The sequence below is a fragment of the Homo sapiens genome, chromosome 7 (assembly GCF_000001405.40).
Source record: "Homo sapiens chromosome 7, GRCh38.p14 Primary Assembly".
In the NCBI taxonomy this organism is placed as follows: domain Eukaryota; kingdom Metazoa; phylum Chordata; class Mammalia; order Primates; family Hominidae; genus Homo; species Homo sapiens.
Genome location: NC_000007.14, coordinates 6,152,638 through 6,178,622, shown reverse-complemented (window position 1 = coordinate 6,178,622; position 25,985 = coordinate 6,152,638). Strand labels below are relative to the sequence as shown.

Sequence of the window (25,985 nt, the reverse complement as noted above, 5' to 3'; positions counted from 1 at the left end):
AGGCGGTCCCTGTACACATCTCAGGGTTTCCCATGTGAGATGGCCACTGTGGCTCTGGTCATCACATAAGTGTTCAAGGCAGAAAGGAGGAGGAAGAGCAGTGCTGGCTCATGGGCTCCTTTTTACCAGGAAATCAAAAACTTTCCCTCCAGGCTTGCCTTTCTGTCTGGCCAGATCTGGGTCACAAGGTCATTTCTAGTGCCAAAGGCAGCCAGGAAACTCCCTCTCTAGTGAAGGGGGTGGCAGGGAGCGGGGACCAGCACCACCCGCTTGCTGCGTCCCTGGGAGTGGGGCCAGGTTGGCCAACCGGCAGTGGCCACCACCCACAAAGTTTTCCTCGCAGACACAGAATAAACTATCTTTCTAAGCTTGGGAAATCTAATATTACTGTTACTCCTGCCTTTATAATTTCTAATAACCACCTGTAATGGTTTGTTCAATAACCCATTTGTCTGTCTTTTAACTTGTTAAACTGAACAGGAGGAATGAACGTGCGTTTCTTTGGTGGATAAAATGTAGTATGGATTTGGGAAAATCAGATTGTGCAGTTGTATGGGTGTCTCTGGTATTATTTTTGCTGTGTCCATACCAGTAAAATCCTGACACTAAGTGTATTTCTGTCTTTGAAAAATGAGTTTGAGTGACACTCCTAACCAGTGCTTCCATTTTAATGTTCTTCAGGGAATTCAGTTTCTAATAGAAAATGACCTGCTACAGAGTTCCCCAGAAGACGTCGCCCAGTTCCTTTATAAAGGAGAAGGCCTAAATAAGACCGTCATTGGGGACTACCTGGGTGAAAGGTGAGTTAGAGGAGGATGCAAAGCCCTACCTGGGGCCACTCAGCCCTGCAGCTTGACCTAGGCTCACGCTCCACTTTCGGGGCCATCACAGCCTAAAGGCATGATAGAGCCACGGGCTGTGGGCATCCACATGCCCGTCTCAATACCAAGCGAGCCCAGTGCAACCGGTTCCTCTCCCGTGTCCATGGGAGGAGAGAGGCATTACCGTATTATGGGATCCTGGGACTCCTCTGGAATCCTGTTTTTCAGGGAGCCACAACAGAACTGACAATGCTGCTGCCCCTTTCTCCTTGTCTTGGAAAGCATCTTAATCGTCTTCTGTTTTGCCCAGAAATAAGCCTGATTTCTCAGTGGTTTTCTTTCTCCTGTTACTTGCAGTATGAATAAAGGTGGAAAGTGAATTTTTTTAATGGAAAGCAGCAGGTCAGATTTACTTTCTGACTGCGACTGGCTTAGCAGAGGTTAGGGCAGGACTGCTGAGGCAGCACATGCCCTGAGTATGGCAAACAGACTTTTGTCAAAGACCAGAAGAAAGTGTTTTTAAACAAAAGCCCAGTAGTTCCTAAAGTTGGGCGGTTTTGGTTTTTAGCTTTTTTAAAAAAAATATTTGATCGAAAGTGGAAAGTGGAATACTTCCCGACTCATTCTCTGAGGCCAGCACTACCTGATACCCAAACCAAAGACACCGCTAGAAAATGGCAGACCCTATCCTTATGACTGTAATATATAGTAAGCAATAGGTAAAAAGGATTGTGCACCAAGGGGGACTTACCCCATGCATGCAAGGTTAGTTCAACATACAAGTCAATTAAAGTAATGTATCTTTCACATAAAGGACAAAACCCACATGATCTTCTCAACAAATACAGGAAAAGCATTTGACAGAACTCAAAACTCCTTCACGATAAAAACACTTAAAAAGCTAAGACAGGCATGGAACTTCTTCAACATGATGGAGGGTACCTATAAAAAACCCCACTTTAACATCATACTTAATGATGAAAGACTGCTCTCCTGCTAAGATCAGGAACGAGACAAGGAGGTCTGCTCTTAGTACTGCTGTTCAGCCCGGTGCTGGCACGCCTTGCCAGGACAGTTAGACAAGAACATAAAGACATCCAAATTGGAAAGGAAGAAATTAAATTCTATTTGCAGATGATGCAATCATATATATAGAATATCCTAAGGAATCATTAAAAACTATTAGAAGTAATACATTCAGTAAGGTTGCATGATATACAATTAATATACAAAACTCAATTGGCCAGGCGTGGTGCCTCATGCCTGTAATCCCAGCGCTTTGGGAGGCCGAGGTGGGCAGATCACAAGGTCAGGAGATCGAGACCATCCTGGCTAACATGGTGAAACCTCACCTCTACTAAAAACACAAAAAATTGGCTGGGTGTGGTGGTGGGCGCCTGTATTCTCAGCTATGCAAGAGGCTGAGGCAGGAGAATGACGTGAACCTGGGAGGTGGAGCTTGCAGTGAGCCAAGATGGTGCCACTGCACTCCAGCCTGGGCTACAGAGTGAGACTCTGGCTCAAAAAAAAAAAAAAAAAAAAAAAAATCAATTGTATTTCTATACAATAGCAATGAGTAAACTGAAACAGATATTAAGTAAACAGCTCCATTTATAATAGCATTAAAAGGAATAAGATACTTAGGATAAATTTAACAAAAAAGCAACATTTTTACTCCAAAAACCACAAAACATTGTTGAAAAAAATGAAAAGACCTAAATAAATGGAAAAGCATCCCATGTTCGTGGATTGGAGGGCTTACTATTGCTAAGATGCCAATATTCCAACACTGATCTACAGATTTATTGTACTTCTTATTGAAATCCCAGCTGACTTCTTTGCAGAAGTTGCACATCCTAAAATTACTATGGAAAATTCAAGGGACCCAAAATAACCACAGCAGTCTAAAAAAGAACAAAGTTGCAGAACTCACATTTCCTGATTACAAAATAAAGTGGCCAGGCACGGTGACTCACTCTGTAATCCCAGCATTTTGGGAGGCTGAGACGGGCAGATCACCTGAGGTCAGGAGTTTAAGACCAGCCTGGCCAACATGGTGAAACCCCATGTCTACAAAAATAGAAAAATTAGCCAGACATGATGGCAGGTGTCTATAATCCCAGCCACTCGGGAGGCTGAGGCAGGAGAATCGCTTGAACCCAGGAGGCAGAGGCTGCAGTTTGTCAAAATCATGTTATTGGACTCCAGCCTGGGTAACAGAGTGAGACTCTCTCAAAAAAAAAAAAAAAAAAAAAAGACTAAAGTGTATAGTCAAGACATTGTAAGACTGGCATAAGGATACACATACATAAATGATGGAACAGCATTCAGAATCCAGAAATAAACCCTCACATTAATGTCAAATAATTTTTCAACCAGGTACCAAGACAATTTCAGTGGGGGGAAGAATAGCCTTTTCAACAAATGGTGCTGGGTAAAAGTAGGTAGACTCTACTTCATCAGAATATTGTGCTTCAGAAGACATCAAGAAATTGAAGGCTGGCCGGGCATGGTGGTGTTCATAGCTAATCATCAGTTACAGATTCCTTGGTTCCTTCCCCACTCCCACTGCTTCACTTGACTAGCCTGAAAAAAAGGTAAAAAGACAACCCACAGGCCATCCTGGGTAACATAGTGAGCCCTGCCTCTACAAAAAATAGAAATAAATCAGTATTACTTGCAAATATCTTCATATATTTCTCCTTATATAATCTAGATGTAAGTCCTTAGCAGATTATAAGGACCAGTTATCATACTGATTCAGTCCTTGTAATCTCCTAAGGACTTCTATCTAGATTATATAAAGAACTCTTCCAAATAAGAGTAAAAATAACAAAAATTACTCAGTTATAAACTGGCAAAGGATCTGAATAGACGTTACACAAGTGGCCAATAAGCACAGGAAAAAATGCTCAATTGATCATCAAGGAGATGCAGATTGAAACCACAAGGAGAGGCTGGGCGTGGCGGCTCAGGCCTGTAATCCCAGCACTTTGGGAGGCCGAGGTGGGTGGATCACGAGGTTAGGAGATCTAGACCATCCTGGCTAACACGGTGAAACCCCGTCTCTACTAAAAATACAAAAAATTAGCCAGGCGTGCTGGCGGGTGCCTGTAGTCCCAGCTACTCGGGAGGCTGAGACAGGAGTATCGCTTGAACCCAGGAGGTGGAGGTTGCAGTGGGCCAAGAATGTGCCACTGCACTCCAGCCTGGGCAGCAGAGCGAGACTCTGTCTGGAAAAAAAAAAAAAAAAAAAAAAAAACCCACAAGGAGATACCATTTCACACCCATTAGGCTGGCCGTAATAAAAAAGACACATAACAAATGCCAGCAAGGCTGCAGGGAAGTCAAACCCTTATTCATTGCTGATAAGATATAAAATGATGCAGGCAGGTGCCGTGGCTCACACCTGTAATCCCAGCACTTTGGGAGGCTGAGGTGGGCGGATCACCTGAGGTCGGGAGTTCGAGACCAGCCTGACCAACATGGAGAAACCCCATCTCTACTAAAAATACAAAAGTTAGCCGGGCATGGTGGCGCATGCCTGTAATCCCAGCTACTTAGGAGGCTGAGGCAGGAGAGTCGCTTCGAACCCAGGAGGCAGAGATTTCGGTGAGTTGAGATCACGCCATTGTATTCCAGTCTGGGCCACAAGAGTGAAATTCTGGCTCAAAAAAAAAAAGGATATAAAATGATACTTTGGAAATCTCTCTGGCAGTTACTCAAAATGTAAAACATAAACTTTAACATGGAACCCAGTAATTCCACTCTTAGGTATTTACTCAATAGAAATAAAAATGTGGCCAGGTGTGGGGGCTCATGCCTGTAATCCCAGCACTTTGGGAGGCCCAGGGAGGTGTGGGAGGACCACTTGAGCCCAGGAGTTGCAGACCAGCCTGGGTAACATGGCCAGCCCTGCCTCTACAAAAAATACAAATGTTTTAAAAAAGCATGGCCATGCAGAAACTTGTGCATGAACGTTCATAGCCACATTATTCATCAGCCGCATCTTTTAAAATGATTGCGATAATGTACATTAGGTTTGAAACTTACTTCTTTTTTTCCCAGGGATGAATTTAATATTAAAGTTCTTCAAGCCTTTGTTGAACTCCATGAGTTTGCTGATCTCAACCTTGTACAAGCCTTAAGGTAAGTATGATCATTTGCTGGGTGTAGAGTGGATGGGGAAGGCCAGAGGACCACTGCCTGGGCAGCAGTGGCGGTGAATTGACTCCAGGTAACTTGGTGCCACACGAGTCTCACAGATGCTGGCTCCTTTTCCGGATGATCCAGCTAATGCTGTGTGACACTGAGCAGCCCTAGACAGGAATTGGGGCACACGCTTAAGATAAGGGCCGTGCTTTCCTCACTGTGGCCGCTGATGCTCCTTCCATTCCGTTTCCTTTTATTTGTAATGGTGTATGGCAGTAGTCGAGTGCCTTGTTCCCAAGCTCTGTATGGCGTGGCGTTGGTGCTCCATGGGGTTACTTCCTTCCACACTTGACCCAAAGCACCAAACGCATGGATACCTGAGTGTGCCAGAGAGGATGTAGGTGTCTCGCCATTTTGGTGTCTGGGACACACTCCCTGGATGCCCCCTTGAGCTGCCCTTCCTGCACGTTGTCTTCCTCCTGCTCTGCAAGCAGGAAGTTGTCTCGCTTCCTTCCTTGGTGCCCTGGCTGAGTCGCGTGGGCTCTTCATCTGTTCTGGGCCTTGACCCTGAGCCAGCACTCAGCAGCATCCGGGGGAGAGGAGGCAGGGCTTCTGGTGGGAGTCGCCTCAGCCGGCCCTTGGACTAAGAAAATCAGGCCGCACCTCGTCATCTTCTCAAATCTTCGGCTTCATACCTTGTTCTCGTTTACGTGGACTGTTTGCTCATGGCCTTACCTCAACTGCAGACTGCAATGTTGGCAGCGTTTTTGTGGGACCCTCGTGATGTTGTGCTCACAGCGCAGCCTGGGGCTGAACAGTGCGCTGAGAGTTCGCAACATATAAGAATCCTGCAGCCGCAGTTCAGGCTTATCAGATTGCGTTTCTGGAAGCTGTACATCCAGAGAAGGGTGCAGGCCTGGTGAGTCTGGGAGGGGTGTCTGGTGCGGCCCTTGCAGCTGTGACTCCATTTCTTTCAGTCCATCAGTCTCTGGCGAGAGCCGGAGAGGTTCCTATTAATTCCCACAGCCGTGGGAGCCTGGCATAGCCCCGTAGAGGGCCTGATGGAGGCACAGGATGGGCGGGAATACAGGCAGGTCCTGTGGCCTGAGGAGCTGCCCTGAGGATGTTAGCTTTTGTCCTGAGGGGCACGGCAAGCCTGTGTGGGGCAGAGGCATGCGGGCTGACTCGAGACGCATCACTGCTGTGGGGTGGGCAGGTGCATGCTTTGCTGGTGAATGTGGGGCAGAGAGGGAGTGAGGGGTGGAGGAGGGGTGGTTGTGTTGAGTCTGAAGGCTGCTGGTGCAGGCCTGGCGGAGAAGAAGGGGCCTGGTAGAGAGTGGGGCCAGACGTGGCTGGAATCCTGGGAAGAGAGAGCAGAGGAAGGACCCTGGGGAGCTGCCCTGTGTGAGGGACGTGCAGAGGAAGAGGAGCCCCGCGGGGCCAGGCTGCATCCTCCCCCGATGGCTGGTGGGATCAGTATTTTAAAAAGCCCAGAGACTTAATTGGAGCCTCAAGGTCTAACTCGGTCTTGATCCTTGTGCTAAATCCACGGCAGCATCAGACGTTGCTGAATAGCTGGTGCGGGAGGCTGCAGCTGGCCATGGGGACTGCAGCCCCTGCCTCCGGGGCTCACTCCTGGGCGGGCAGACGGTGGCTAAGGCAGACAGGTAGCAGGGGTGGTGCCACGCAGCCAAGGAACGCAAGGAAGGGAAGCAGTGAGCGGGGGCGGGGCGGGTTGTTGGGCTGGGGGTTCCAATTACAGGCAGGGCAGCCAGGGAGACCTCAGCCAGAGGGGATGCCTGAGGGTGGGAGTGTCTGCTGGGCCTGGTCTCTGAGGCAGGCATGTGTCTGCCCAGCAAGGCAGCAGCAGCTTCTGACCGCAGCGCCCAGTGCTGTAGGTGGGGCTTTGGATACCGTCCTGTGGGCTATGGCTCTGCCTTATGTGTGGGAGTTCTGAAAGGAGGACCGGCTGGTGGCAGCTCGGGACAGGCAGGGCTCTGGTGATCACCTGGCAGCAGCAGGAGATGGTGGCAATGGGGACAGAGAAGTGCCAGGATCCTGGATATTTACTTTTTAGGCAGAGACAACCGGCCTCGCTGCTGAATTGGTTGTAGTTACAAAAAGATGAGCCATCAGTAAGCGTGTCTCGAGTTATGGAACGGAAGGAGACTGTCCTGGGTCTTCTCCTTTCTGTCTCTGCGCCCCCAAGCCCCTGCCAGAGCTGTACCCCAGGCTCGGGAGGAAAACGTCCTTCCTGAGCTGGGCAGAAGCCGCCCTTGGCCGTGAGGCGGTGTTGGTTCTGATGCGGCTTCCCATGGCTTTGGTGTCTCCACAGGCAGTTCTTATGGAGCTTCAGGCTGCCCGGGGAGGCGCAGAAGATTGATCGCATGATGGAGGCTTTCGCTTCTCGCTACTGCCTGTGCAACCCCGGGGTCTTCCAGTCCACAGGTCAGTGCAGAGCCCACAGCCTGGCCCCTTGCCAGGCACAGCCTCCAGCTCTGGAGGGGGCGGCCCCTGTGGGCACAGCCCAGCGTGTGTTCCTGGGGACCTGCCTTCCCTGAGCGAGGACGACCTGTGGGCCGGGCACCTCTTGCAGGCGGGCCCCCAGCACGCGGGGTCCCACTGTCCACTGGAGGTTCTGGCTGAGCCCAGCACCCCGGACTCGTTGCAGACACGTGCTACGTGCTGTCATTCGCCATCATCATGCTCAACACCAGCCTCCACAACCACAACGTGCGTGACAAGCCCACGGCAGAACGGTTCATCGCCATGAACCGCGGCATCAACGAGGGCGGGGACCTCCCTGAGGAGCTGCTGAGGGTGAGCTCCCCGGCCCGCGGCCGCTGCCGTCTGCAGGATCTCTTCGCTGTGAGCGGCCGCAGCGCCCGCGGCTCTAGACACGCCTCCCAAGCCTCCTTGCCGCCCTGGTCCCGCTGAGCTTTCTGCCCGGCCAGCCATTTTCCTCCGAGTCTCTGAACTGGCTGCTGTTTTCCCTCCTTGCAGAATTTGTATGAGAGCATTAAGAACGAGCCATTTAAGATCCCGGAGGACGACGGGAACGACCTGACCCACACCTTCTTCAACCCCGACCGCGAGGGCTGGCTCCTGAAGCTGGGTGAGCCGCCGGCCCAGCGGGACCCGGGCGTGACCCCTCTGCCCATGGCAGCAGCCCCTCGGGTTCCTCCCAGGCTCATCGTAGGAATGCCCCCCACCGCAGGCAGAGACGTTAAAAAGAAACGCGGTTAAGCCAGAGCCCGCTCTCGGTAGCTGCATGGCCACGGCTGCTTCTCCGAGCCGGGGCCTCAGAGCCATGCCCGCGGCAGAGAGTAGCGCCCAGGCTGCACGGCCCGTCCCAGAAAACTGCTGAGTTAGCATCCAGATCCAGCCAGGGCAGCTTCCTGCACGAGAAGCAAGCGCATTATCTCCACAGAGCCTGTGTGCCTCTCTCGGTTTGGTGTGGCTGTGATTTTTGACGCGTGGTTTAAATGTGCCTTCTTGTTGTTTTCCTTCTGCCTGTGGCTCCCACCTTTCTGTTCTGTGACGGGCTGTCCCTGCTTGTCCTGCTTTAGGAGGTAGGTACCCAGTGGCTCCCCGCCCCCTCAGCGGCTCATTCCTCTCGCTCTCCCCACGTTGGTCTGTGTGAGCTCCGCTGTGTGGCTGCCATTCATCCGATCCATCTGTGGACTTGCTGGGGCTGCGCCGTGCACGGTGTGGTGAATGCTACACCCACCCCCAGGGGCGGGGCTGAGAGTGGCTGGGACCTGGAGCACATGGGGATGCTGTGTGGGAACCAACTTGCCCCCCACCCTGTGTCTCTAGGGGTCCGCAGCAGTAGAGAAGCAGACAGCCAGCCCTGTCCCTGCGGCGTCACCCTCCACCCCATACTAACCCAGCAGCGCATGGAGAGATTTCGGGAGTGCTCTAAAGGCCTTTGGAGCAATTTAGGGCAATTACGGGCAGTTTTAGAAATGCTGAGGGGTTGTTTTGCCTGCGGGGCGGGGATGGTTGCCTTATGCCCACAGTGAAGCGGGCGAGATGCGGTAGCTGGGTTCACGCAAGCCTTTCTGAGAGCAGGCGGCCGCTGGGCAGCACGTGAGACATGGAGTGGAGCATCCTGGTGATTTTTTAAAAATTTTATCAGCCGGGTGCAGTGGCTCATGTGTGTAATCCTAGTGCTTTGGGAGGCTGAGGTGGGAGGATTGCTTAGGCCAGGAGCTTCAGACCACCTGGGCAATATAGTGAAACCCCATCTTTACAAAAAATTAGCCTGGCGTGATGGTGTGTGCCTGTAGTCCCAGCTACTAGGGAGGCTGAGGCAGGAGGATGGCCTGAGCCCAGGAGGTTGAGGCTCCAATGAACCATGACTGTGCCACTGCTCTCCCACCTCGGCGACAGAGTGAGACCTCGTCTCAAAAAAATAAACATCAAGGAAGGGTGAGACACGGTGTGACGGGCACAGGCCTCCTCAGCTGGTGGAAAGGGTGTGAGTCCCACAGGTCTGCCATTCCCATTAGGGTCTTTGACCTTGGCCATTGCTCTTTGACTTTTTTCTGGCTGTACCGAGGTTTAGGGGAGTTGTAGATATTTGCCTGAAAACCTAGTACCATGGTCTTTGGCTCGGGTGCCTGAGAGACCCGATTCAAATCACATTGTGCGAGTGTTCTAGAGTGAGGGCCGGTGGGGGGGAATGTAACCGGAAATGCCGGCAGGCACTCTGGGGCCGGGATAAGTGGGATGTTCGTTTGATTAGATGCCTCCCTTCTGGTTCCTGCGTTGCCCACCAGTGTCCCCTCGAGGGACAGTGACGCCATCAGCCTGCCTGGCAGCCAATGTGACCCCTGCCACCAGGGAAAGGTCGGCTCTAGAGACGTAAGTGTGTGAATGAAATGAAGGCACAGCAGAGCTCGTGTTGTCTAACCTGTTTTCTGGTTGGGCAGATAAACAGGCCATGAAATGAGTGCACACAGTGCTCACGGGAACCAAGAGCTGGCTGGGCGCCGGGTGCCAAGCGCAGGGGCCCTGGAGGGGCTGGTCCAGCTGGCGTGGCCTCAGTGTGGTGGGCGGCCCGGTGAGCACCTGCTGCTCTAGGGGCTGGCTTCCTTGTCCTCTCCCAGCACCCTGTATGTCTGCTGTGTTCTCAGAAACAAAGTTCGAGACCAAAGGCTGGCGAGCCAGGGCCCTGGCTGGAGGCAGACGAGATGGGTGCAGGATCTAGAACGTGCTTCCAGGCGTGTGCTCAGCGGGGAGTGCGGCCTGGCTTGGTTGCATTCTTATTGTAGATTTGCTTTTAGAACAGGTGGTCTTAAAAAGGCCTGGATGCTTTGCCAGAGCGTAGGAGCCCTGCTGTGTACACAGGCGTGGCTTACGATTGTTGGTAACTTAAGACTTCGAGTCTTGAATCAATCACCAGAAAAAAAAAAAAAAAAAAAATCCTAGGAGGTGGCCCAATCCGAGCTGCCATACAGAAAGTGTGTGCATGTGGACCTGTGTGTGCACGTACGCGCCTGCCTGCTAACGGCAATGAAGACAGAAACTTACAGAGAGAAAGTGGCTCCCATCTGCAGGTTCCAGAAGCCAGGCTCTTGTCTGCAGGCGAGAATGCTGTGTGGTGTGGCCAGAAACAAGTGTGAGCAGAGCCTGCTCGGCTCTGAGACCAAGCTTATCACCCCTTCCCTGGGCCTGCAGTCCTGGTCTGCAACGACCCCCTGGCCCTGAGGACTGGACAGGGATGGGGCTCTGCATGGGAGGTGTGAGCGGGGGACCCAAGGTGGAGCTGAGAGGCCACCTGGCAGACCCCTCCCAGGCGGGGCCAGGTGTGTGGGCTAGTGGAACATACAGGTCCTTTGCTGTCCACCATGCTGGGAGCGTGGAGGAAGAGAGCAGGCGCTGGACAGAAACACACAACCTGGGGGCTCCTGGATGAGCTCCCCAAGAACTGGAGACTCAGATAACAGGGCAGGGAGAAAGGCCACAGCTGGGGAGCCAGGAAGGGCAGCCCCTGCTGCCGCCCAAGGAGTTGGGTTTAAAGCTGAGTGCAGTGGGACCCTTTGGGGGGCTTCAAGCCGGAGGGGCATGATTGCCACGTTTTTGAAAAGATGCCTTTGGCCGCTGTTTGGGGGATGGCAGCTGGCACCAGTGCAGCTGGAGCGGGGCCTGCTCTGGAGTCTCTGGAGGGAAGCAGAGGCGACCGTGACAGTGACGGATGTCAGGGTAGTGGAGTTGCTGTCAGCTGATTCTGCCACAGCAGTTCAAGCTGGAGCAAGTGCCTGGAAGGAATCAGCACTGTCCTCCTGTCCCTAGGGTCTCGGGGACATAGAACACCTCTCACTGCTCACTGGAGGACTGTGGGACAAGGCAGGTTGCCCCCAGGGTCTCCTGCCCTCCCCTGTGGACTTGGGCCTCCCTGGTGTGCTGCAGTGGAGGTGGGGAAGGTGAAGGCCAAGGGCTTGCAGAGAGCATGGAGCCCGCGGTGAGACAGGGACACGAGGGCAACAAGGACTTTGGGCCTTGCTGTGGGCCTGGCTGGGTCTTAAAGGGGACCAGTGAGGCGGTGCCACAGTTGGGGCAGAGGGTTCCAGTGACGGAGCAGCTTGCAGGGGTTCGGGGAGTGGAAGCCCCGCCAGGGCTCAGGAGAGATGTTGGGGGCAGGGTCTGAGGGCTGGGGAGATGCAGCAGAGAGCTTGGGGGCAGATTTGCCCAGACCAGGGTCTAGACAGACCCTTTAACAGGTAGGCTGGTGGGACACTGATGAGACTGGGGCCTGTGGGGAGAGGAGGAACAGCTGGAGGCTGGGCTCCTGTTCCAGGCTGGCGGTGGCAACCGCATTGCAGGCTGCCTTAGGCATCAAAGGAGGACGGCAGCACTGAGTGAGGCAGGGGCCAGAGGGTCCCAGAGGGACTGCAGAGACCCGCTTCCGGCCTCCAGTTCCGCTGAGCCAGGCTTCCTCCCACCTGCAGCTGGTTCCTCCTCACCCAGGGTCTCTGCAAACCAGGCCCCAACAGGGAAAGCCCCCTGTGTCCTGGTGATCCATCCACAGAGCCCTTCGCACACAGTCTTGCCTCCAGGCCTCAGCGCCCGTGCTGGCCCCCACTTAGGGAGGGAGGGCTACTCCCCTGCCGGCCTGTCACAGAGAAAGCCGGGTGAGCTCCGCAGCGCTGGAGAGGCATGGGGCAGAGAGGGCCTAGTACCCCAGGGAGCACTTGAGTTCATTGTCACCAGCGTGTATTTCTTTGAATTATTTAAAAAACAAACACCGGCAAGGCTATAGCAGCTGAAGTCAGTTTGTCTCTGCTCAGTGTTTAAGGATCAGAGATTTCCTTCCCTTAGGGAGAGGAGGGCAGGTACAGATGGGGGTACGTGCGTGTGCACGTGTGCTCCAGATCTTGTTACAAAATTAATTCAGTCTCACGATTCCTTGGGCCCAGGGGTGACTGATTTTGATGGATCCCAGGGCTGCCCAAGGGCCTCTGTAATGCGATAACCACCTGACATGGTGGGGTCAGGTCCTGGACAGAGCCAGGCGCGCAGTCCTGACTTCATCACACTGCCATCTCATGTGGGAAAATGACGCCATCCATCCCACTAACTCTCCCAGGAAGCGAATTGTAGCGCGGTTGTGTCATCAAGGGGCCCATCAGTGCCGTGGAGGGGGCGCCGGTGTGGGCGGGGTGGGTGCATGTGGGGCCCTGCGGTGGGAACGCTGAAGGACACCTGAACCCAAGCCTGGCGCCTGGTGGCCTTTCTGAAAACGCAGTGGTCTGTGCAGGTCCAGGGCCCCCTCTTGGACCCGCGGGCTCCCTGTGCACGGAGCGCAGACTCACGGGGCCCTTCTGCTTCTAGGAGGGCGTGTGAAGACCTGGAAGCGCCGGTGGTTCATCCTGACCGATAACTGCCTCTATTACTTTGAATACACAACAGTAAGTAAGGGCCAGGCCTCCTTGCCGCCTCCCAGCAGTCCCGGAGCTGCCCTGGGGCCGAGGGACCCTCAGGCTGGTGACCCACAGTGAGCCCCGCCGTGTACTTTCCTCTTGTAGGATAAGGAGCCCAGGGGAATCATCCCGTTGGAAAACCTCAGCATCAGGGAGGTGGAGGACCCCCGGAAACCCGTAAGCTCTTCCTCCTGAACCTTCTCTCCTGCCAGCCACCTGGGAGCCATCCTCACTGCCTGCAGGGAACCTGCCCCAAGCCCCCCTGACCGCCTCCCCTCTCTCTTTCTCCACCAGAACTGTTTTGAGCTCTACAATCCCAGCCACAAAGGGCAGGTCATCAAGGCCTGTAAGACTGAGGCCGACGGCCGCGTGGTAGAGGGGAACCATGTGGTGTACCGGATCTCAGCCCCGAGCCCGGAGGAGAAGGAGGAGTGGATGAAATCCATCAAGTGAGTGGGGCCTCGGGGGCGGGGCCAGGCCCGTCTTCTCGTGCCGGTTGGAGGGCGGGGGATGGTCTGGAACATGGATGCTTCCGTGTGCAAGAGTGGACCTTCTGTCTCCAGAAACCCCAGAGGGCCGGGCTGCCAAAGCCGACGTTCAGATCTGAGCCTGCGGTCCTGTCTGAGGGGCCTCTGGGGCTGGTGGGAAAGGGGAGGTCTGTGTGTCACCCACGACCTAACCTGTGTGTTTTCCTTTTTTCACCAGAGCCAGTATCAGCAGAGATCCCTTCTATGACATGTTGGCAACGAGGAAACGAAGGATTGCCAATAAAAAATAGCTTTCCTGGCTAAAAGACCCAGGTAAAAGACCCAACCCCAGCAGAAAGACACCGCGGGCGGCCCCTCCGCGGAAGGCGTGGCAGGGAGGCAGTCGCCCTGCGGTGCAAGCTGCTGCTCCAGAGCATACCGTGGCCCAGGTGGTATCCCCAAGGCCTCGTGCCGTGGCTGGGGTCCTGGGAGGTGGTCGCCCTGCAGTGCAAGCTGCTGCTCCAGAGCGTACCGTGGCCCAGACTGATCCTCGAGGCCTCCTGCCGTGGCTGGGGTCATGGTCGGCTGCGCATGTCCAGAAGCATTTCCTTCCTGCGACCATCCCGGCGCCCCTAGGGGGAGAAGCCAGGACAGCAGCTTCCGCTGTCTCCACAGCAGACACGGGACGGATTCCACAGACGGGAGCCTCATTCGTACCATGCCAAACGCATTCACTCGGGGCAGTATTAACCGTTCTAGAAAGCCACTGTTTTATAGCAAAACAGGAAAGGAAAAGCTACCAGTTTTTTATTCAGAATTTTTCTCAGATATATAGGATTATAGCTTTTATATGCCTTTTTATATTCTGAAATTATAACAAAAGATACTTTCTAACAGTAGTATTTTTAGAATGGCAGCTATAAAGTTAACTCCTGGACACAAGTATATACTGTGCACTGAAAAAATATCCATCTACACAGCACCCAAGGGGAGGGCTGGGGGCACCGGCACGGGGGCAGCGTGCAGCCCTGCCCTGTCAGGCTGTCAGACAAGCCCCGGGGGGCAGCAGGTGGGCTCGGGACGGGCTGGGGGAGGGACGGCCATGGCACTTGGGGGCTCCAGGGTGACTCCCATGAGGCCTCCCTTCAACCAGGCTTTTTGGCCCCACAAATACTTTAAGCAAATCATTAAAATTATAACAGTTAATGGTTTGGGGGTGTTTAGGCTGTAACTGCTAACTCCTAGGAAACAGCCTTTTCCCTGGACACAGATGGTCCATACGCTGAGCCACGTGAAACTGCTGATGTTTTGTTTAGATGCACACACATGGCAGCGTTTCATACAGGTCAGCAGGTTAGACCGGCTTTTGACCATATTCATCGCTATTTAAAACCTGTGGCAAAATGAACGCTTATTTTACAGACTTTCTAATTTGACCAGATTTCTTAATGAATAGACACAGAATTAACTAAAAACAGTCTCACCCCATGTAGTGCGCCGTGTCCTGAGAGAGGTGCCCTCCCTACGAGGAGGGAAGAACAGGCCCTGGGGTGCAGAGGCCCGGCACGTAGAGAACCCAGATAGACGCCGGTGGTGGAACTGGTCAAACTCCACGCCCGCCTGGGAGGTTGTCAGGTTGCTGTGGATGTAAGGATAGGAGGTGCCCAGTGCTCCGCTCAAGGAAGGCTGGATCTGGGCCCCACCTACAGAGAGGGCTCAGGGCTGGACCGGGGGCATTGTGTGCTTGGGCCGACCCGGGCCGGTGGCAGACGCTGTTCTCTGTCGGGAGATTTGCGTCCCCAGGACCCTGTTACACAGTGGGCTGTTGGGTTGGTGGCTGGCTTTTCCTCTATGGACTTCCTCTTCCTGCCCCACCTGCATAGGCACACACACCTTGAATCTGCACCCTCTGGAGGGCATCTGTACTCCTGTGCAAAATGCCCAGTCCAGAGACAAAACCTCAGACTTTGTGCACCTAGGTTTCCTTCTCAGCAGCGGAGACTGTTCTTTGAGTTGCCTTGAAGTGGAGGCCGAGCGGCTGCGGGCCCTTCGCCTCCCTGCGGCTGACCTTGATGTAGCTTTAAGTCACACTAGACTGCAGAGGGGTCCGAGGCCAGAAACCCCTGTCCTGCATCAGACTTTCATTCCCACGTTCTTAGGCTTTGTTACTGATACCTCAAATCGGAAGTTTTAGTTCTGAGAAAGGCAAGTCAGCGTTCTTGAAATGCCTGACTGGTAGATATGCAACTCTGGCCTCCAGTCTTCCATGAAAATAAATGCTGCCTGGACCCCCACCCAGACCACACACTGACGGCCGGCTCCGGCGGTGCCCACCCCTCAGGCTGGCCCGGCACCCAAGACTGGCCACAGCCAGCTCTGTCAGCATGTTGTGCTCGGACAAGCTGTTTCCTTCTTCTGACCAACCCAGGTGTGACCTGGGGATGCAGAGCTTTCTGTTTTGGGTGTTGGGAGAAGCAGCAGGAAGGAGTCGCCAGATGATCAAGCTCCCCCTTTGCTGTCATCTGTGAATGAGCTTCGCCAGGTGGTGGGCACCTGGGAGCCATGCAGAGGCTGTGGTGCTGAGTTAGACTCCAGGTACTTTGTGGTCAAAGGAAATCGCCTAGCTCCAGGCTGTGTTAGGACAGTATTAGCATGAAGGCTGTGCGACCATCATGCCTGCTGATCCTTGAGGCAGGCCTGGTCCAGAAAACTCTGGGTCAGTGACTGCGCAGGGCCAGCCGCTACCAGGACGGCCCTGAAACAGGACACATCTGTTTTTTGTCCCTCACCCTGGGCAGGCCGCGTCACAATCACAGTCCTCCTCCTCCCCACCCTGACGTCTGAGCGCAGGGCTTGAATTGTTAGTCCCAACTCTGGCCAAAGATACTTTTTTCCAGAGACAGAGGCCAGGAGGCAGTGAGGGGAGCCCCGCGGGGAGGCGGCGGCGACTGCCACAGCCCTTCCAGCCTGTCTTGCTGGCCGCCCTGGTTCATATTTGAGTTTAATTGTACTGACCCTGGACCCAGATAAGCAGCAACTTTGTGTCTTTGGGGTCACAGAACATTTTGGGGCAGTTTAATGTGGTACCAAACTGAAAATAGGAGCTATTTATAGATGGAGCAGCACTTAGTGCTTCATAGAAAGCAATGCCTATTTTTAAAGTTACAAACGCAGATATCTACATAGATATGCTTTGCTGAGAAGTTAGGTCTGTGGTAGACCAGAAACCACAAATTGACTTTTTTTCTTAGAAAATATTTCTATTTGCGGTAAATATAGTAATATGTAAATAATGTACATCTGTTGATTTCTGGAGTGTCTGTTATTCAATGATGTATATACTCCCACAGCTCGCATGAAGGAACAGCCTCTATTGATACTTGGTTGTAAAGTGAAGTAAGATTGGAGGGTGGATGGCTGTCAGAGCTCTTGCAGATACTGTGTTCACTAAATAAAAATCACATGTATTGTTAAAACAAGCCTAAGACTTGGTTCTTTAAAACAGATATTGTTGGGTCCAGCAAACACCCCTCCAATTTTCCTTTGCCCGTCCGAGGTGGGATGGCCTGGCCGAAGGTGCCGACTTCGGCAGGAGCACTTACTTGAAGGTTTTAAGAAAGTGAATTCAGATGATGACAGGAAGGAGTCTGGAAGCAAATGGGGAAAACAACAGTAAAAAGACGCCAAGTGTGTGATTTGCTGCCATTTATATACTATAGAAATTTTACATGCTGTATATTTACAGTGGGGCAAGTGCTTTTTTAATCTTTAGAAAAACAAAGATCAAACTTTAAACATCTCTGAACAACACAAACTGTATAAACCATACAGATTATTCAGATACAAACTGTATTAAATACAGTTTTCCCCACTCCATCTCCTGATGCAGGACCAGTGAATTATAAGTGTATCACAGTTTGATAGCATATCCATATTAAAAATAAAATCACAGTATGATTGTGTCTGTAACTAGAAACTCGAAGGGACCAAGCAGACAACGGAGACTCCAGTATCAGTGAAGACAAGAGACGCTGTATCAAAAAGTGTTGTGTAATAGAAACATACTGTCGGCTTTACAAATCATGTCTGGGTTATACATTCATAATGTAAATACTCATCATAACTGGGAAATTGATTGATTGGAACAGTTCCACAAAGTTCAAAAACAGAACTTGTCTATAAAATACATCTTCAAATCTTGAATACAACTAAAATAAGCAAATTAGTTTCTAGTATCAGACATTACAGAAAACAGACTGCTCTCCAAAGTCTAGGTGAGAGCTTGTGAGTTTTTAAATAAGTCTTTAAATTAAATATACACACTGTCAGTTTGTACTTTTGACAATTCCATGGTCTCCCGGTTGGTCTTGCACCAGATGTCTAACTTGGAGGAACATTACATGAAATACAAGTAATCGACCTGAGTCTGTAATTAAGCAGCATTTGAGATGTTCTATTCCAGGGCATTATTTCAATGGGATTTATATACACGGTATTTTACAATGGTCAGCAGTGGTAGAAAGTGTTCGTCCATTCGGAATAAGGGTAATTAAGAAAAGGTAAAAACTAAAAAAAAAGTTCTCCATGGTAAAATCTGTACAGTATTTACTAAAGAAGCACCACGCAGATTGGAACAGAGTTATTGTCTATCTTTATAATTTAAGCTGGGCTGGGGATGGCTTCTGTTGAACGCGTTGAATCTGAAAGACAAGAGGCGCAGGGTTAGTGAGTTGGAGGCAGGCGGCGGCGTGTAGGGCTTATTCCCGGACGCCCTGCCAGCTGCTCCCGAAGGCTGGGGAAGCTCTTCCTTGAGGAGATCACTCTGCCTTCTCTGCCTTCCTGAGTGGAAATGAGGGAACTGGCGGTGCGGGCAGCTCAGCCAGGGAGGCGCCATCTGCTGGGCCCGGCCACCACCCGCCCCAGATGCCTCCTCCACCTCCATCCTCACAGCCCCTCACTCAGGAAGTTTAGCTCCTTAATTAGGGTTGGGCCTCTCCCTTGAGGACACATTGATAAAGCCTGTTAATTAACGGCCAATTAATCCACAGACTCTTCACTTGGCAATTCATTTTAAATTCCTCTTGCTGACTACATGTGACAGACACATTTGGACAAAGTTTCCTTTCAAGGGAAAAATGGTTCACTGTCCCCTCTAGCTCCACAAGGGTCAGGTATAAAACCAGTGACTCTCCCAGGACCGCTGTGTGAAGTGATCCAACAAAGCCCCACAGCTCCGAGGTCCTGATCTGCCGCCCGGCCCTGGGCCACCTTCCTATGGTTTTGTACGGTGGCTGCTGGGGGGGTGCTGGCTCCAGCTCAGTGCCACCTCGGGGCGCAGACAGCAGCACAGGGGACGGGACGGACGAGGGAGCAAGGCTCCGCTCTCCTGAGTGAGGTGCCTGTGCTGGGGACCGGGCCTCTCCCTTCCCAGATGTTTATCAAAGGCCCGTGGGCTCTGCCGCTGTGAGCCGGGTTGGCTTTTCCCAAGTGAGGCACAAGGGAACAGGGCGACTCTGCCTGCGTGAAGGATGCGGGTCTTCCCCAGCCAGTAATGCAAACGTGATGAGGTGGAGGGTCTAGGTCTGTCCCCAAGCGCGTGGCCTGGGTCTGGGCTGGCTGGGAACCTGCCGGGGCCTCTCCATGGCTCTGCCAACTCCTATGAGCCCAGCCCCCAGGCAGAGCCGCAGAATTAAAACTCCTCTGCCTGCGTCCCCTCAGCGCCACCACAAACAATGAGGAAACAGACAGGAAAACAGCTTACCATAACTAGTGAATTTTTTGTTTTGAGGCTGAGTTTTCAATCACCTAGAAAGCAAAGGTCAGGAAAGAGATTTTAATGATGGTTGCAAAATCGCCAGGGCCTCTGCTGTGTGTGTGCGTTAAGTGGCTATGGTCAGAGTCACTGCGGTTCCCTGTGAGCGCCTGAGGCCACTCCCCAGTGAGGTGAGCAGGGATGTCCCAGCGCTCAGCGGCTGCTCCCAGGGTTTTACTGATGTCAAAGGGTTTACGTGATGACTGAGGGCTCCATCCAACCCACACGCAGCCTGATGTTAGAACAGATATCAGGCCCAAGAACTGAACTGGGCGGAACAGAGCCAGAGGAGGAGTTTGAAAGAGAAAGACAAGGGGCCGAAGTCCAGGGTAGAGGGGGACCCGCAGGACCACAGGACGCTGGGTGAGGCGGGGCCGGGCAGCGGCCTTCTCAGAAGGACAAGAAAGGCTCCTCAGTCTGCTCGCAGCAGAAGCGCCAGCTGCAAACCCTGTCATCGGTGCAGTGGGACGGGGACGGAAACACAGGGCCACCACACAGACAACGCCTGACCACAGCACCCGAGACACGAGGCAAACAAGATCACGTTCAACCTCCCTCCCGCTGGACCAGCTGCCTCGGGGGCCATCACTGTCTCCCAGTAGCCCCAGCTGGAAGCCCATGATCCTGGGAGCCTGCACCACACTCAGAATGAGCCCATCCACTGCATCCTCGGATCCTCGGGTACCAAGCAGCCCTCACGAATCTCCTTCCCCGATTCGCTGAAATGGGAACGCAAAACCAATTCTGAAATGTCCAGAACGTCTACAAGGCCCGCAGGCAACCCGTCCTCACCGGCAGTGCTGGTGCCTGTCCTCATCTCCGGCTGTTTCCCCAGCACTCCATGGGCAAATGTCCCCCATGGGGCTCACCCCGCAACCCCCAGCTCTCTCTCACACACTCTAAGGACCGTTTACCCCTCAATCAACAATGCATGCTGGCTCTGGGCTGCTGGGAGGGACAGGCCTTCCCCAGAACACACAGCTCCACCTAACCCACAACTCAGCCGAGAAGCAAAAGGCCTCAGGGCAGCCCTGAAGATTCGTCAAAAGCCCCTGGGAGGAGGGGATGCGCTTCACACGTGAACACAAACAATGGGCGTCCAGGCAGGGGTGACAAACCCTTTCTGTCAAGGGGCAATAATAAACATTTTCCGCTTTGCGAGCCACACGGTCCCTGCCCTGCCGCAGCCACTCACCTCTGCCAGGCAGTGACAGCGAAGCCGCCAGACAGCGTGGGAACGCACCTGGCTGCGCCCCAATCAAGCCACAGACACTGAGGTCTGAATTTCACATCATTTTCATGTGAAACGCATTGTTCTTTGGGATTATTTCCAACCACTTAAAAAGGTTAAAACCATTCTTAACTCCAAGTTCATACAAAGTCTGGTGACTGGCCGAAGTTGGCCCCAGGGCTGCAGTTTGCCAGCCTCCGCTCTAGGTCCACTGACTCGAGTGACATCCGCTTCTAACAGGCTCACAGCTCCTCTCGAGGGTGAGCGGTCACCGGACACCAACGGGAGAGGAAGTGGGGGGCTGCCTCAAGTGCAGTAAGAGCACAGCGTGTGGCCACAGGACGGAGACACAGCCCCACAGGGCAGAAGAGAATCCAGGACACCTGGCAGGGGCAGCCAGCGCTCTGCCACATGGAGGCCTCTGCAGTGTCACTCAAGCAGAGGCTGGTGCCCACGCTTCTAAGGAACCAAGCGAGCAAATCAGTACCGAGCATCAGGGTGCACTCAGAATGCTACAGGTTTAAGGATTCGGGAGAGTAACGTATACGCTGCAAAAGTATTTCTATCAAAAATGCTTTAAAACCAAGAGTTCTCGAGACCATCCTGGCTAACACGGTGAAACACCGTCTCTACTAAAAACACAAAATTTAGCCGGGCGTGGTGGCGGGCGCCTGTAGTCCCGGCTACTCAGGAGGCTGAGGCAGGAGAACAGCATGAACCTGGGAGGCAGAGGTTGCAGTGAGCTGAGATCGCCGCCACTGCACTCCAGCCTGGGCAATAGAGCAAGACTCCGTCTCAAAAAATAAAATAAATAAAATAAAATAAAATAAAACCAAACCAAACCAAGAGTTCTGGTCCTTTGCAAGGCAAAGTCAGATGCCTAGAGCTGTACGTTCCAGGGCTTTGGTGACACAGGTAGTGCTGCCCTCAGTCCTGTGTCACTTAGGCCTTCAATAAACGCTAAGGGCTTAACTGTGCAACGGAACCACACTGCAGGGATGAGCACTGAGGCCAGACCAGGCAGGGCAGGGGTGCTCTGAGTAACTGTGCCCTTTGATGCCACCTGAGGTTTTCTTTCTACATGTTAATCACCTTTGCAAAGAAAATGTATTAAGAAATAGTTTCTATCTTCCTAATTCCAAGTATCTCCTCTTACCCTGGCCATACTCAAAGAGACGACACCTGTCATCCCTGCTTTCCATCCGTAAGTGTTTCGTTTTCTCACGGAAAGGTCCGACGCCTTCCAGAGGCGGGCCACCAGAGAGAGGAAAGCCACCCTGGGCTCTCCGGAACTGGGCGACAGTCTCCAAGCTGGTGACCCTGGGTAAGTGCAGTTCTGAATCTTTAACAAAGTCCTCTGATTTTCTTGAATGTCTCTTCTTTTTCTTCTTCTTTTTTTTGTGTCTGTGGAGGTCAGCGTCAGAGCACGCTGCTGAGAGGTCTGAGTCCTGCTGATGCCTGCAGAAGGAAAAGCCAGAATTCAAAACCCTAAAACACAAAACCACCAGCAGCAGACCCTGGAGCTTGGCCTTTCCACCCATTCACCGAGAACATTCACTGTGCAGACACGCACAATTCTTATCTAATTAGCCACGTAGGCCAGGTATGGTGGCGCACACCTGTAGTCCCAGCTACTCGGGAGGCTGAAGCAGGAGGATCACTTGAGCCCAGGAGATTGAGGCTGCAGTGAGCTACGACTGCAACACCGCACTCCAGCCTGGGCAACAGAGCAAGACCCTGTCTCAAAAATTTAACAAGTTTGCCTTCACTGTAATGACTGTTTCAGTCCAGGGCCATAAATTCACCAACTTTAGCTCCATCCTGAACAGTCCCATCTCTGCTTCAGCTTTCTCAGGAACTAAGGCTGTTGGACAAACACTGCAGGGAGGATTCTGCTAACTTTTCCCGAAACCAGTAGTTACTTGAAGGGAAAGGAAATACTAAGCCTCCTTCCCTCCCATGTGCCTGAGACACCTGGCAGCAATATTATTTTTCCCTCCAATAACCACTGCCTATTTTCCATATGGCTTTTGGTAATCTTTCCCAGGGTTTCAGTTTCAAGAGATGTCAACTAAAATTACTAATTCTGCTCCTGCTCATCCATCTCATCATGGATACGTCATTTTCAAGACAATCACCAACCAATTTAGCTTTTTAAAAATACAAAAACAGGCCAGGTGAGGTGGCTCATGCCTGTGATCCCAGTGCTTTGGGATCGCTTGAGTCTAGGGGTTTGAGAACAGCGTGCGCGGCATAGTGAGATCCTGTCTTTACAAAAATAAAAAATTAGCTGAGGATGGTAGCACACGCCTGCAGTCCCGGCTACTCCAGAGGCTGAGGGCTGAAGCAGAAATATCATTTGAGCCCAGGAGGTCAAGGCTGCAGTGAGTTATGATGGCATCACTGCACTCCAGCCTGGGTGACAGAGCAACACCCTGTCTCTTAAAAAATACAGAAGCAAATTTCCCAATTGGATTTCAAGTTGAAAAATGGAGACAAAAACAAAGGCCGAGGAAACGAAGGTGTCTCCGATGCCTACGCTGGGCAGGCGGGCAGGCACAGGAAAAGTGTGCCTCCTGTTGTCTGCCTCCCTCACAGCCACTGAATTTCAGGAAAATATAACAGATATGAAAACATAACTACATCTGACAAGTAAGAATATTAACACCAATTCTAAGGTCAAAGACTCCCAATTGTTCATTGATGGAACACTGCATGCTTACTCCTGGAAGAGTTATAAAGCATTCACCAAAAATGGCACTATCATTTTGAAAAAGAAGGTTGTTAGGCATTTAACGACACCATGAAGAATAAAGATACAGCTTCAAAGCAGGGCAAATTTTTACAAATCTGTAAAAATAGTGAACTCTCAAAACCCACAGAAATGAAAGACACAAATCAGACGGATACAACTGTGGCCTGGCTGGTCACTTGTTCCTGAGTCGAGTGAGAAGGGACAGGCCCCACTGCTGACAGCAGCGCCAGCGCCTCGGGGAGCACAAGGCCCCAGGCTCACCTGGAGTCGCGGTCTCGGTGTTTGTCTTTGGATTTCTTTTTCTTCTTTGATTTTTTGTGCTTCTTTGCTTTAGGCTCTTCTAGAGGATCCTTCTGTTCGCTCCTCCGGGCTTTCTTTTCAACATGACTGTCACTGTTCTCCACACTGTCGTGTCTCCGTTTCCGGGACTTTCCATTTTCGTGTTCGTGAAACCGATCAGAGAGGTTACAGTTGTCTCCGGCTACAAGTGCAGTTCTGTCGTGGGAGAAGCGGTCGGGGTGCGGGGCGAGGGCGTGGGGCGCGCCTGCGCGGGGGCTGCTGGGGCGGTGCCGCTCCCTCTCCCGGGCCGGCTCGCAGCCCCTACGGCCCCGGTTGTGGTCCTTGTGCGGCCGCTCGTGCAGCCCGGCCCGCTCGTGCTCGCGGCCGCCGTGGAAGGGCTTCCAGTCCCGGGCAGCGTACAGGGCGTACCTGTCATGGTAGTACCGGCACCTGTCCCAGCGCGGCCTGTCGGGGTAGAACTTCTCCCGGCCCCAGCCACGCTCGCCCTCGGTGTAGTGGTGTCTGACCCAGTCCAGCTCCACCCCGCTCCGGTGTCGGGAGTGGTGGTGACTGCACCTGCCCAGAGAGCGGCGCTCGCCAGGGCTGAGCCTGTCGCCGTGGCCGGGGTGGTGCTCCGGGGCGTGGCGGTCCTGGCGGTCGCGCTCCCGGGGGCAGGTGCGGCGCCGCCGGTGACGGTGGCCCTCAGTCTTGCTCCTGCTCTCTCTGGCGGGCTCCCCGCTGGACGAGCGCTCTCTCCGGCTGCGGTAGTGGCCTCGGTCCACCTTTCTGAGGCTGCCGATTTTCTCCTTCGCTGGGGAAGGGCCTGGGGCTTTCGGCGCCGCGGCGTCCTCGACCCTCTCGCCGGGGCTAGGCTCAGCGTCCCCTTCCGGGTGACCGGCCGGGGCCATGTCCAGCACAGGAGCTGGCGGCCGCTCTGCGGCCTCGGGTGCGCCCAAGCTCTGGGATGGGTCCTGAGCGTCCCGGGCGTGGTCCCCGCTGGGGTGAACAAGGAGTGGCTGCTCGCAGGGCTCCTCCGACCGCGCAGGCGGAGCCGGACTCAACCCTTCCGGGGCTTCCGCCAACGCCGAGTCCCGCGGGCCCTCCGCGATCATCCCCTTTGCGTCCTGGGACAACGGGCTCGCATCGCCTGTTAAGCTCCCGGGATCACACAGGTCAGGGGGTGCTGTGTCCCCCACGATGTCCTCGCCGGCGCTGGGCGGAGGCTCCTCGGGGGCGACGGCCATGGCCTCCCAGGCGCCTTCTTTGGTAGCGGGGGTGCCGGGATCGCGGGGCGGCGGAGCCTTCTTGGTGCTGCTGAGGCCGGCGGCCGCATCTGGCTCCTCCAGGGATTCGGCGGCGGGGCTGCCAGGCTGAGGCTCGGCGTCGCGGTCCTCGGGAGGGCCCCTCTCTGCTCCAGGTGCACTGCAGCCCCCAAACAAACAAACACGCCCGTTAGCGTGGGCTTGACAGGCTCATGTCATTGCATTACAAGGACAAATACTTCAAAACGTTCATTTGCTATTTCGTCTCTTTATTTTATTATTATTATACTTTAAGTTTCAGGCTACATGTGCACAATGTGCAGGTTAGTTACATATGTATACGTGTGCCATGCTGGTGTGCTGCACCCATTAACTCGTCATTTAGCAGCTATTTCGTCTCTTTAAATACATCTCGCCGAAGCCCAATATTAGGCTAGTACTACTATCTCTGGAAACTCCCAATTTTCTCTTTCCCTTATTAAATAAAAATAAAATGTTATATCATCAAGCCCAGCTCCTAGCCTATTTTTCAAAACAATAATCCTAGAGTTCTAGGCTCTTCCTGTTTCTGGATATCCCTCTAGTTCTTCCAATTCCTCTATTTTTTTTTTTTGTTTTGTTTCATTTTGTTTTGTTTTTTTGAAGGACAGAGTCCCACTCTGTTGCCCAGGCTGGAGCGCAGTGGTGTGATCTCAGCTCCCTGCAACCTCCATCTCCTGGGTGCAAGCGATTCTCCTGACCCAGCTTCCCGGGTAGCTGGGATTACAGGTGCCCACCACCATGCCCAGCTGATATTTGTGTTTTTAGTAGAGATGGGGTTTCACTATACCTTGGCCAAGCTGGTCTCGAACTCCTGACCTCAGGTGATCCGCCCGCCTCAGCCTCCCAAAGTGCTGGGATTACAGGCGTGAGCCACCGCGCCTGGCCGCAATTCCTCTAGTTCTTCCTAATAACTAAGACTAAAGAAAAAAAGTCCAGTGATGACAGGGCCTCCTCCTTTCCTCTCGACTCCCTTTCTCTGATTTCTCTTGGACCCTCAAAGGTAGAGGGGCCACCTCCAAACACAGCCAGCAGCTCCTCCAATTACTGACAAATTATGAGGAATCAGAGGCTTTAGCAAAACGTTCTGTAGTAAATTAACTTTGTCCTTTGATTCCCGCAGAGCTTTCGATATATCCTCGGGGTTAATAATGAAAGCTGCTGTGGCCTGGGCTTGTCTGCACAGCCACCTACCTCACCCTCACGCTACCTGGCCTAGGTGAGGCCAGAGTCCCCTGG

At 53.1% G+C, this 25,985-nt stretch overlaps 2 protein-coding genes across 23 annotated transcripts in view; one reads left to right on the top strand and one right to left on the bottom strand.

Annotated features, from left to right (window-relative positions):
* Positions 1–16,844, top strand: part of CYTH3 (cytohesin 3) — a 110,846-nt gene extending 94,002 nt beyond the window's left edge. The window contains exons 5-14 of one of the 4 annotated variants that reach the window (NM_001367581.1): positions 682–800; positions 4,211–4,433; positions 4,890–4,970; positions 7,309–7,421; positions 7,645–7,793; positions 7,977–8,088; positions 12,813–12,889; positions 13,007–13,078; positions 13,196–13,350; positions 13,607–16,844. In NM_001367581.1, coding sequence (NP_001354510.1) covers positions 7,361–7,421; positions 7,645–7,793; positions 7,977–8,088; positions 12,813–12,889; positions 13,007–13,078; positions 13,196–13,350; positions 13,607–13,679 — 699 coding nt within the window. In that variant the 5' untranslated portion in view covers positions 682–800; positions 4,211–4,433; positions 4,890–4,970; positions 7,309–7,360 and the 3' untranslated portion in view covers positions 13,680–16,844. Of the gene's footprint in view, positions 1–681; positions 801–4,210; positions 4,434–4,889; positions 5,893–6,485; positions 6,641–7,308; positions 7,422–7,644; positions 7,794–7,976; positions 8,089–12,812; positions 12,890–13,006; positions 13,079–13,195; positions 13,351–13,606 lie in introns of those variants that run through there. The other 3 variants (NM_004227.4, NM_001367580.1, NM_001367582.1) reach the window with 3 other exon arrangements.
* The window catches only part of USP42 (ubiquitin specific peptidase 42), an 80,324-nt gene continuing 71,397 nt past the window's right edge, over positions 17,059–25,985 (bottom strand). For 16 of the 19 annotated variants that reach the window (XM_047420940.1, XM_047420938.1, XM_024446969.2 and 13 more), the window contains 3 exons: positions 23,428–24,867; positions 21,568–21,869; positions 17,059–18,068 (listed from right to left, as the gene is read on the bottom strand). In XM_047420940.1, coding sequence (XP_047276896.1) covers positions 18,028–18,068; positions 21,568–21,869; positions 23,428–24,867 — 1,783 coding nt within the window. In that variant the 3' untranslated portion in view covers positions 17,059–18,027. Of the gene's footprint in view, positions 18,069–19,129; positions 19,174–21,291; positions 21,870–23,427; positions 24,868–24,959; positions 25,667–25,985 lie in introns of those variants that run through there. The other 3 variants (NM_032172.3, NM_001365764.1, XM_005249883.6) reach the window with 3 other exon arrangements.